Source organism: Homo sapiens, chromosome 19, assembly GCF_000001405.40.
Source record: "Homo sapiens chromosome 19, GRCh38.p14 Primary Assembly".
In the NCBI taxonomy this organism is placed as follows: Eukaryota; Metazoa; Chordata; class Mammalia; order Primates; family Hominidae; genus Homo; species Homo sapiens.
This window is the reverse complement of record NC_000019.10, coordinates 19,504,470-19,515,937: the sequence shown is the minus strand read 5'-3', so window position 1 is coordinate 19,515,937 and position 11,468 is coordinate 19,504,470. Positions and strand designations below refer to the sequence as shown.

The 11,468-nt window shown below is 54.4% G+C and overlaps 2 protein-coding genes across 48 annotated transcripts in view, besides 2 other annotated features; one reads left to right on the top strand and one right to left on the bottom strand.

Moving 5' to 3' along the window:
- Nucleotides 25-144: a silencer, noted in NCBI's record as "silent region_10445". NCBI's record gives its function as "represses an Ori minimal core promoter by ATAC-STARR-seq in GM12878 lymphoblastoid cells {active_cell/tissue: GM12878}" and the evidence as "EXISTENCE:reporter gene assay evidence [ECO:0000049][PMID:35858748]".
- TSSK6 (testis specific serine kinase 6) lies at nucleotides 390-1,719 on the top strand. The gene has a single exon (NM_032037.4). It carries the CDS (start codon nucleotides 511-513, stop codon nucleotides 1,330-1,332), a length of 822 nt encoding a protein of 273 aa, NP_114426.1. The 5' UTR covers nucleotides 390-510; the 3' UTR covers nucleotides 1,333-1,719.
- Nucleotides 7,006-11,468, bottom strand: part of GATAD2A (GATA zinc finger domain containing 2A) — a 123,090-nt gene continuing 118,627 nt past the window's right edge. For all 47 annotated transcript variants that reach the window (NR_169268.1, NM_001384514.1, NM_001384512.1 and 44 more), the window contains one exon: nucleotides 7,006-10,594. Coding sequence is in view for 46 of the 47 variants with exons in the window: in NM_001384514.1 (NP_001371443.1) it covers nucleotides 10,464-10,594 (131 nt within the window). In the remaining variant the exon portion in view is untranslated. The remainder of the gene's footprint in view (nucleotides 10,595-11,468) is intronic.
- Nucleotides 10,445-10,945: an enhancer, noted in NCBI's record as "H3K4me1 hESC enhancer chr19:19615802-19616302 (GRCh37/hg19 assembly coordinates)". NCBI's record gives its function as "activates a minimal SCP1, AML or CMV promoter by ChIP-STARR-seq in primed H9 embryonic stem cells {active_cell/tissue: H9 hESC(primed)}" and the evidence as "EXISTENCE:reporter gene assay evidence [ECO:0000049][PMID:30033119]".

Below are 11,468 nucleotides of genomic sequence, written 5' to 3'. Positions count from 1 at the left end.
AACTCCGAGCTCTCAAAGGAGCCAGGTGCCCCAGTTAAGGCCCCTTTTCCCGTTTTCGCCCCGTCTAGGGACTCTACGCGAAGCCCAGGGCTCCACGTAGTCACGGGCTGGGTACATGATGTTGGGGGGCAGCTGCTGCTCGAAGTCGGACTCACCCCAATCCCTGGAACGGATTCTGCTCCCTGGTGGTGATGGGTATCCCTTGCTAGTGGCCTCTCATCGGAAACTGACCATTCAGGATGATTATGAGTCACAAAGCAGGGAGGCTAGGGTGGCCCCGGGGCGGGGTCCCGGACCCCCACCCTAAGGCGGAGTGACGCCCGCAGTCACTTCACAAGGCAAAAATTGTTACGGGGCAATAAAAGGCACAACAGCGGCCAATGTCTGGCAGTGGGCACATGGGGGTGCGGGGGTGTAGGTGCCAAGCGCCATGGCTTAGACCCGAGATTGGAGTCCGGCCGCCCCCCGACAGCAGCCGCCTCCTGCCCCCCGTGCGCCCTAGGCGCCACCATGTCGGGAGACAAACTTCTGAGCGAACTCGGTTATAAGCTGGGCCGCACAATTGGAGAGGGCAGCTACTCCAAGGTGAAGGTGGCCACATCCAAGAAGTACAAGGGTACCGTGGCCATCAAGGTGGTGGACCGGCGGCGAGCGCCCCCGGACTTCGTCAACAAGTTCCTGCCGCGAGAGCTGTCCATCCTGCGGGGCGTGCGACACCCGCACATCGTGCACGTCTTCGAGTTCATCGAGGTGTGCAACGGGAAACTGTACATCGTGATGGAAGCGGCCGCCACCGACCTGCTGCAAGCCGTGCAGCGCAACGGGCGCATCCCCGGAGTTCAGGCGCGCGACCTCTTTGCGCAGATCGCCGGCGCCGTGCGCTACCTGCACGATCATCACCTGGTGCACCGCGACCTCAAGTGCGAAAACGTGCTGCTGAGCCCGGACGAGCGCCGCGTCAAGCTCACCGACTTCGGCTTCGGCCGCCAGGCCCATGGCTACCCAGACCTGAGCACCACCTACTGCGGCTCAGCCGCCTACGCGTCACCCGAGGTGCTCCTGGGCATCCCCTACGACCCCAAGAAGTACGATGTGTGGAGCATGGGCGTCGTGCTCTACGTCATGGTCACCGGGTGCATGCCCTTCGACGACTCGGACATCGCCGGCCTGCCCCGGCGCCAGAAACGCGGCGTGCTCTATCCCGAAGGCCTCGAGCTGTCCGAGCGCTGCAAGGCCCTGATCGCCGAGCTGCTGCAGTTCAGCCCGTCCGCCAGGCCCTCCGCGGGCCAGGTAGCGCGCAACTGCTGGCTGCGCGCCGGGGACTCCGGCTAGAAGCCGGGTGGTTCCAGCCATTCCTGCAGCCAAGGGCACTGGGCCAGGGCGGCGCACGCGCAAGAGGCGCGCTTCGAGGGAATATGCGAAGCTGCCGCGTGCTGCTGCACATGCGCTTTTTCCCTTCCGCTTCCCTCCCTTTCTTCCCACGGGGGAGTCCGCAGTTGCCCTTGTTCGGAATCCACGTTCCCCGCGATCCCGGGAGCTGGAGGCGCATGCGCATCCGCGATTCCCTGCGACCAGGCCCCGAGAGGGCGAGACCAGAGGGGACGGAAGCATTGCGCCTGCGCGGAACTCTCAGCCTCTGCGCGGAGGGCGTCCCTTCCCAACCAGCCGTGGGTGCCAGGTTCCCGGTTGGAACCTGCAATAAACTCGCTGTTCCTCGCACCTGGCTCTAACGGTGGCCCCCATTTGCGGACTAGTGGAGAAGCGATCGCTCCATCCGGGGAAGGCAGGCGCGGGTACCCTATTTTAGAGTCACGCATGTTGAGGTTATTGCTCCAAGACTCAAAAGGGAGTCGGGAGGATTCGAGCCTGGACCTTTTGAGCTCCCCAGTATGGGCAAACTCAAAGGAGCTTTGTTGTCCCCGGGTCGTGATGTCGCTGTGATGATGGGCTGGGAAGCAAGTGGACCCCAGCGCCTCGCCGTCCACATCTTTTAAGAATGGAACAGCCAGGGGTGGGGCGAGGGTGGCCTGTCTCCACGTAAAGTAGGAGTTTATAGATAAGGAAACTGAGGCCCACATGGATGTCACTTGCCAAAAGGCAGAGCCAAGGGCCAGGCGCGGTGGCTCACGCCTGTAACCCCAACACTGCGAGTCCGAAGCGGGCAGATATCTTGAGGTCAGGAGTTCGAAAACAGCCTGGGCATCACAGCCGAGACCTCATCTCTTGTTTGTTTGTTTGTTTGTTTGTTTGTTTTTTGAGACAGAGTCTCGCTCTGTCGCCCAAGCTGGAGTGCAGTGGCACGATCTCGGCTCACTGCAACCTCCGCCTCCCGGGTTCAAGCGATTCTCCCGCCTTAGCCTCCCAAGTAGCTGGGACTACAGGCGCGTGTCCCCCCACCCGGCTAATTTTTGTATTTTTAGTAGAGACGGGGTTTCACCATCTTGGCCAGGCTGGTCTTGAACTCCTGACTTCGTGATCCACCCGCCTCGGCCTCTCAAAGTGTTGGGATTACAGGCGTGAGCCAACGCGCCCTGGACCCTGCCTCTTAAAAAAAAAAAAAAAAAAAAAAAAGGAAAAGAAAAAAGAAAGAAAAAGAAAAACCCCGGGCGCGGTGCTCACGCCTGTAATCCCAGCACTTCGGGAGGCCAAGGCGGGTGGATCACCTGAGGTCAGGAGTTCGAGACCAGCCTGGCCAATATAGTGAAACCCCGTCTCTACTAAAAATACAAAAAAAATTTAGCTGGGCACGGGGGCGGGCGCCTGTAATCTCAGCTACTCGGAGGCTGAGGCGGAAGAATCGCTTGAACCCGGGAGGGGGAGGTTGCAGTGAGCCGAGATCGTGTCACTGCAGTCCACCGTGGGCAACAAGAGCGAAACTCCGTCTCAAAAAACAAACAAAAAAGACACAGCTGTGATTTTTTTTTTTTTTTTTTTTTTTTTTTTTTAGGACAAGGTCTCTCTTTGTTGCCCAGGCTGGAGTGGCACGATCTTGGCTCACTGCAGTCTCTACCCGGGTTCAAGCAATTCTCATGCCTCTGCCTCCTGAGTAGCTGAGACTACAGGCGCAGGCAACCACGCCTGGCTAATTTTTTGTATTTTTAGTGGAGACAGGGTTTCACCATGTTGGCCAGGCTGGTCTCGAACTCCTGACCTCAGGCGATCCACCTGCCTCGACCTCCCCAAAGTGCTGGAGTTACAGGCATGAGCCACTTCACCCGGCTCACAGCTGTAATTTGAACCCAGATCTAGCAACAGTGACGTTGCGGGGGTGGGGGAAGCCCTCCCTGCTGTGGGTCCCTTTCCTCTCGGGAAGAGGGGGTGGGGGAGTCAGGGCGGGGCTGGGCGAGATTCAGCTGGACTCACTAGCTCGTTCCTTCCTCTGTTCCTTCATGTAGTCATGCATTTCTTGAGCACCTACTGTCTGCCAGGCCCCAGAGCTCATGGCGAAGAGACTTGGGCCCATCCCTGCCGAAAACGAGACAATTGAAAAGTCAAGTAAAATAAAAGAATGACATGGAAATAAAATAATTGTAAGTTGTGCTAAATGCCAGGTAGAGTTGGGAGGTGTTCAAGGAGGGACTCTGGGCAGGGCGTGGCAGCTCACGCCTATAATTCCAGAACTTTGGGAAGCTGAGGTGGGCGGATCGCTTGAGCCCAGGAGTTAAAGACCAATCTGGGCAACACAGCGAGACGGCCATCTGTACAAAAAATTTAAAAATTAGCCAGGCATGGTGGTGTGTCTCAGTTACTTGGGAGGGTGAGGTGGGAGAATCGCTTGGGCCTGGGAGTTCAAGGCTGCAGTGAGCTATGATCGTGCCACTGCACTCCAGCCTGGACCACAGAGTGAGACCCTGTCTCAGAAAAAAAAAAAAAAAAAAAAAGTCAAGGGACTCTGAAGGTAAGAGAAACAGTCCAGGTTGTTCCCCAGGAAGAGGGGAGCTGGCGTGTTTGAGTAAGGCCAGTAAGCTTATTTGCCTGGAATAAGGAGGGAGAGAGGGAAAGGAGATGGCAAGGTAAGGAGGAAATTGAGAGAGGACCCCACAGAGCCTGGGAGTGGTTCCCATTTGGGGTATATGGGGAAATGTATTAGGTATATTAGGAAATCCTAATCGTGCCTACCTGCATATGAGCCCTACATAGCTGCTCCTCTGGTGGGTCTCCCCATGCCCAGCCCCTGCTCACTCAGTCTCAATGGCTTTCTGGTGCCCTGGTGATGCAGTGCCAGCTCTATCTTCATCCCTCCAAATAGATACATGGCCCTGTCCCCTTCAGTTTTGCAGATGAGGAAACCGAGGCTAAAAGAGGGGCAGTGCCTAGCCTCCAGTCTTGGCTGGACCACATCAGAGTGGAGGTAGAAAACCCAGCTCCTGGGGCCGGGCATGGTGGCTCACACCTGTAATCCCAGCACTTTGGGAGGCGGATCACTTGAGGTCAGGCGTTTGAGACCAGCCTGGCTAACATGGTAAAACCCCATCTCTACTAAAAATACAAAATTTAGTCGGGCATGGGTGGCTTGCACCTGTAGTCCTAGCTACTGGGGAGCCTGAGTCAGGAGAATCACTTGAACCCGGAAAATGGAGGATGCAGTGAGCCAAGATCCCACCAATGCACTCCAGCCTGGGCAGCAGAGCAAGACTCTGCCTCAAAAGAAAAAATAAATAAATAAAATAAAACCTAGCCCCTAGCCCCTCTGGTTTATTCGAAGGGTGCTGCTCCTGACTGGGGCCATGCCTCAGACTCCCCACTTGGAAAATGGGCAAAACCCCATCCTTGGGGTAGTGGGCATGGCTTCAGAGTGGGCGTAGCTTGAGTACTGGGCCCAGGACCTTCCCTAGACTCCCACTGCACTTAGCTAAAACCCACGCCCTTGCCCCGTCTTCCCACCCAGTCCCACCACATTGCCCTTTTTGTTCTTGACCTGCCATGCTGGCTCCTATCTCCAAGCCTTTGCACACTCCTGGCACTTTTCCCCTCTTCAAGCCTTGCCTAAAATGTCACCCCATGCCCTCCTCTCAAGGTGCTATATGTTTCTGTCTGGATAGCTCCTGCCACATCTCCGGGGCCCAGGGCATAGTGCATGCCATCTGTCCACCGACGAATCTGTGGGAGCAGATGGGGTCAGGGTCTCTGCCTGCCATGTGGCCACAGACCCAAGGCTCAATTCAGAGAGGATGAGATGTCGGGGACAAGATGTCAGGGACGAGGGGAGTGTCCCATTTTCTCAGCTGGAGAGGCTATTTGAGACCATGACCCAGGACCCGCCCCTTGAATCTGCCCCAACTGCACTGACAAGCCTGTGCCCAATCCAGGGAAGCAGAGCCTCACGAGGAACCAAGAGCCAAGCCCAGGAGACAGCACCCCATAGGAATGTTTCTCAGGCCAAGCAAGAAATGCCTGTAGCAAGCCTCTGGCCCCAGCTACACGGTAGGCTGAGGTGGGAGGATCGCCTGAGCCTGGGCAACAGAGAGCCTCTAGGCACTCTAGCTTGGGCAACAGAGAGCCTATCTCAAAAAAAAAAAAAAAAAAAAGTGGCTGGGTGCAGTGGCTCACGCCTGTCATCCCAGTACTTTGGGAGGCTGAGACCGGTGGATCACATCAGGAGTTTGAGACCAGCCTGGCCAACACGTGAAACCCCATCTCTACTGAAAATTAACTGGGCGTGCTGGTGGCGGCACCTGTAATCCCAGCTACTCGGGAGGCTGAGGCAGAAGAATCGCTAGAACCTGGGAGGCGGAGGTTGCAATGAGCCAAGATCGCGCTACTGGACAGGCTGAGGTTCAGTTTCTACCATGTTCTCTACCAGCTCTGTGCCCATAAGACCAGGCACTTGGGAGTTGTGGGGAAGGTATGAGCTCCCAGGCCGGAGGCAAGGATGCTTCAAAGACAAGAAACGGCCAAGCGTGGTGACTCACACCTGTAATCCCAGCACTTTGGGAGGCCAAGGTGAGAGGACTGCTTGAGTCCAGGAGTTCAAGACCAGCCATGGGCAACATGGCAAAAATGTGTCTTTGCAAAAAATACGAAAATTAGCTGGGCATGGTGGTGCATGCCCATAGTCCCAGCTACTGAGGAGTCTGAGATGTGAGGATCACCTGAGCCTAGGGAGGTTGAGGCTGCAGTGAGCTGAGATCAAGCCACTGCATTCCAGCCTGGGCAACAGAGTGAGACCCTGCCTCAAATAAATAGCACCTAGGAAAACAGGGTCATGTTTTATGCACATTAAAATTCAGCAAAATGATCCCAGGTCTCACCTTAAGAATAAAACTTGAAACTATCAACACTTGAAAACATTTTTGCCAGGACGTCGTTCATTTTGGATCCAGGTTGGTGACTCTGTGCTTAGATTGCACATCTGTAATATCACATCCTGCAGCAAAGACACCATCGAGGCCCCCAGCCTGAAAATTGCTCCAGGAAAACCCACCACTCTAGCGTGAAGGCTGATGCAGCAAACACAAGCAAATTCCACTGAGAATTTTTTTTTTTTTTTGAGAAAGTCACGGTCTCTTACCCAGGCTATAGTGCAGTGGCGCAATCTTGGCTCACTGCAACCTCTGCCTCCCGGGTTCATGCGATTCTCCTGCCTCAGCCTCCCAAGTAGCTGGGGTACAGGCACCCACCACCACATCCGGCCAATTTTTGTATTTTTAGTAGAGATGGGGTTTCACCATGTTGGCCAGGCTGGTATCGAACTCCTGACCTCAGGTGATCCACCCACCTCAGCCTCTCAAAGTGCTGGGATTACAAATGTGAGCCACCAAACCCAGCCCCCACTGAGATTCTCATTCCTCTCTCCCAGCCCATGGGGTAAGTTTGCCACAAAGCTCCAGAGGAGAGGGGCCGTGGGGACTCCATCCCCACAGTAAGTGAGGCCCCAGCAGCAGATGCACCCCGCCCTTTGCTTCTCTCATTAACTAAGGGTCATCCTCCATCTCCCTCCAACCTGCCTGGGAAGCTAGGACGAAACAATACAGAGAAGCCAGGGCAGAAGGGACAAAAGAAAAGTCCAGTTGACACATCATCCATTTATTATCCTTCAGAGTCTAAAACTTCCTCGTGATACAACGTATAGCCACCCATTCCAGCCTGCTTATTGGAACTTCTATTCCCATCTGGTGGCAAACATTTCTTTTTACATTTGTTTTACTATCAAAGATTTAGAGTCACAATAAATACAAGTGACAGCCTCCACACCCAAAGAGCCTCCCCAATACCCTGCACTAGTGTAACCGTCTATTACACTTTAAGGATTATAAAATTGTTTGCTGTCCTTTTTTAAAAGCTCAGTCCAAGTTCTTTAGGTTAACGTCATGTGCAGCATAGCTCAGCATCAAAAACCCTACGGCAGAGCAGCAAGGATCATCCCTTCTGTGATGAGAATATTTGTATAGAGAAGTCTCTCCCCTGCCTCTACGTCCAATAGGAGAGCAGGAGCCACGGGGCCCAGCGGGGCTGCCACTGGGTTGCCTCATTCCCTCTGCCCTGAAGCTTTTGCTTCACCGAGGTCCGTGGAGTACAGGTAAGACCAGGCACAACTAGCACTGTGGGCTGTTCCACTCTGAGAAGGGCCGCTACAGACCTCGTCAGAGGGGTGGTTCCTGGTCACCGTAGAGTTCCTGGGATGAGGTCAGGACGGCCATAGCTGTGGGAGGTTCCAAGGGCACTTGGCCATTCCAAACCCTACCCCCAACCTCCCCTACAACAGGCGAGGTGTGAACTCTGAGATCTCCCCAGCCCTGTCTACAGAGCAGCTGACAGAGGGAACCGTTTCCAGGTGCTGTTGGAGGTTCATGTCACAGGTAACAGGGGACAGTTACAATCAGTTGGGCTGGGGGCTCCCACATTCTGACGGCTTGCAGGAACCTGATCCTGGTAGGGCTCTCGGGACCAGGACCCAGGCAGTGCCTGGTTTAAGAGGGTGTGCTTTGCTGTGGGTAGAACACCCTTAACATTAATCAATAGCTATCCTGGTGCGTCCAAACCCCACACCCAGAGAGGTACTTAATAATGCCTTCACCTGGAACATCATAAACGTCATAATACAACAACCCGCTTGGGGCTTATCGTAGAGGTTATGCTGCAAGGAACTGAAAGGAAATAATGGGCTAGAGTGTTCGAGACAGCAGAAATGAAGGAAAGATTAAGGCATCTCACACTTTTGCCCCCTGGGGGGAAAAAAAAAAAGTTTACATCACAGTATGTACGTTGTCCCTGATGGAATGCTCCCTGGGGACATGGGGCCGACCCTCTCCCTTTCGAGGGGCAGCAGTCCATATGAACTCACAAGGATGGGTTGACAGCCATCAGCCCTGGAGGAACAGCCAGGCCAGGCTGGGAGAGGTCAGGAGCTGGAGCTGGGGCTGGGGGCCGGCAGGTGCGGCTCGGATCTGGCCCCCTGGTCAGACCCAGCTGACCCAAGCTGGAGCAGGCAGAGGTGACTTCGGTCTGGATGCCTGATCCCCAGCCACTGCATAGAACTGAGGTTGGTTCGCTGGGGAGGGCTTTCAGTGGGAAGAAGCCAGCCTGGGTGCTCCTTCTGGGAGGAGCTGGAAGATCTGGCCCCTGTCATGGAACAGAGAGGGCTAACAGCTCAGGGTCGTAGGAGACAGGTATTTATTTGCCAGGCACACAGAAAAATGCGAGGAATAGAAATGCTTGCATACTCTTGATTTTTTTTTTTTTTTTTGGTGTAAAAAACACACCCTCCCCTCCCACCCCAAAAAACATCAAATTCCTTCCTTTTCCCCAAATCCCTGGATCTTGGAATGAAAGCCACCCTTCCCCAATCTGTCCTCACCTCCTTCAGCCCATCCAAGTTATGCACAAAAAAACAAAAATTAGTGAGAAATTTGGGGATTTGCACAACAAAAAATTAGATAATGTTTTCCAAAACTAGGTCTTCTATGCTGTGTCAAAAAAAGTTTCCTACAGACTGAGGATATTCACACGACAGGAGCCTGGGGGTTAAATGAGCCTTTATTAGAATGTTGTAGCAGTTGTGTTTGAAGGCGGTGGCCCTACAAAAAAAAAATTAAATTAAAGTCCCTAACTGCATGGGTAGGAAAACCAGGGCTGGAGCTCAATTGGAACCAGTGGAGCCCAGAACTCATGGAGACATACGTATGTACGTGGGCACGGGACGCCCTCGCACTGGCATGAAGCCGGCCCAGCCTGCAAGAGACACGGAACGGCTTCTGCCTTTCCTCACGGAACCAGTTTTTAAAGAGTGGGACGGGAAAGAAACAAAAATGAAACTAAAAGCAGACCTGATCCTTTTAAAAACATTTTTGTAGACTCTAAAGGGAATTACAAAAAAAAAAAAAGTCTGAAAGCAAATCCTGACAGCAACCCCTAGGTTTAAGGACAGGTTCTAAACTAGACCCAAACGGAAATCCTGACATCTGTGCGCAGCGGCTCGCCGCACACCTGGACGGCACCTCCTGACCTGCACACACCTGTGCACGCTCACCTCCCAGGAGCAAGGCCAGGGTGGCTTAAGATTGCGTCCATCGAAATGAATAGAAAAAAGGAAAAAATTTAATAAAATAAACCACAACAGAAAAACCCCGCGACAGTCCCCCCTCCAGCTTTCTGCTCAGGGCTGCTGCCGACCGGATCCTCTCCTTCTCCCTTAATGGGCAGCTTCTGGAATCCCTGCTTCTCTGGCTGGGTCTGTTCTTCAGTTTGTTCTTCTGCTAAGTCTGGAAGGTGCGGGGGCGGGGGTCTCCAGAACAAGCAGCAATGGAGGCGTTCAGCTGGAGCGAGGGCTGCCTCGGCCATCCCTGCATCTGTCAGTCAGTCACGGGGGCGGGCCGGCCGTCCCTGCCAGGGGCTGTGGCACCATGAGCCGCCCACCCTCCAGGGCACAGGGCCAGCGGGATGATGCAGCGTACAACAGGGACCCCAGGGTCTGCACGGTTTACTTTTAACTCCATCATCATGAGGTGATTAAAAAAAAAAAAAATCTTTCAACTTATAGATCGCCATGGGAAGGCAGTCAAAGACTGGGAGCCTAAGACAGGGAAAAGCAAAAAAATGAAACACCCCGCTCGGTTCAGAAGCCCCGGGCGCTGGCCTTGCCCATGCGCATCACAGTGTCCAGGGTGAGCCGCCCGTGTGCCGGCAGGGGCTGAACAAGGGGGCCAGGAGCAGAACCAGCCCCCAAGGTCCACTTTTCTGCTGGTGTCGGGCAAACTAAAGGCAAAGAGAGAAAGGAAGAAAGCCCACGGGAAAGGTCCCCCAGCGATGATCCTCGTCTGCCTATGAGGCGGCACCAGCCCCCTAGCCCTGATGAAACTTTGCAGCCAAGAATTGAGGTCTTGCCTCTGCAGCATGGCCGGTGCTTGCTCTTGGGGCGGGCACGGTGTCTTCCCGAGCCAGCGGAGGGTGGTGCAGTGGGTCCTTCTAGACCAGGGGCCAGGTGGGGGAGGAGGGAGCCCGTCTTCCACGGGGCCTGGCTCGCACTATTTCCACGTGGCTGACTGGGGGATGGAGCGGGGTGGGATCATGTCCAGGAGGTACTCTCGCTGGCGGTCCACGGCCGAGGAGCTCTTGTGCACCGCCAGGCTTGGGCTGACAAACGCAAGGGTCCCGCCTGCAACAGAACAGAGCGACCAGCTGAGAAGGCCCTCGTCAGGAGGGCTCCTGGGAGGAGCCCAGCCATAGCTGCCTAGACCCCAGCCCCAATACAGACTAAGGACCCAGGAGCCCTTGCAAACCCACCCACACTACTCCTCAATCAACGTTTCAAATCCCAGGCCCCCCCAGAGCTGAAGAGTATTTAGGCAGCAACTCAATGGCCTTGACATTGCCAGGCTCTGCCAAGGTAATCCCAAGTGTGGGGCAATCATCAGAGGGTGAGCAGCTACCTACGTTCTACAGAAATGAAGGTGCTGACCACGGTGCTGCTTAGAACAGTGGAAAACCATAAACAAATGTGTGCAACAGGACAATAATGCAGGATGGAATACTATGCAGCAATGAAAAACTATCTTAGCTGGGCACGGAGGCTCAGCCTAGAATCCCAGCACTTTGAGAGGCTGGGGGGTGGGAAGACTGCTTGAGGCCAGGAGATAGAGACCAGCCTGGGCAACATAGTGAGGCCCCATCTCTAAAAAAAATATCAGCTGGACATGGTGGCACATCCCTGTAGTCCCAGTTACTCCAGAGGCTGAGGTGGGAGGATTGCTTGGGCCTAGGAGATCCAGGCTGCAAGAGAGCTATGATCGCGCTACTGCATTCCAGCCTGGGCAACATAGCAAGAAGCTTCTCCAAAAGAAGAAAAAAAAAAAAAAAAAGGAAAAAAAAACTATCTCCTACCCTCAAGTGTTGTTGTTGTTGTTTACTGGTCTCAAACTCCAGGCCTCAAGCAATCCTCCTACCTCGGCCTGTCAAAGCACTGGGATTATAGGCACGAGCCACTGTGCCCAGCTCAAATTTTAATGCGTCCAGTAAGGGTCTCTCATTAA

What these genes read in the sequence shown, in the direction of transcription:
- TSSK6 (NM_032037.4), top strand. Translation starts at nt 511, where the DNA reads ATGTCGGGAGACAAACTTCTGAGCGAACTCGGTTATAAGCTGGGCCGC.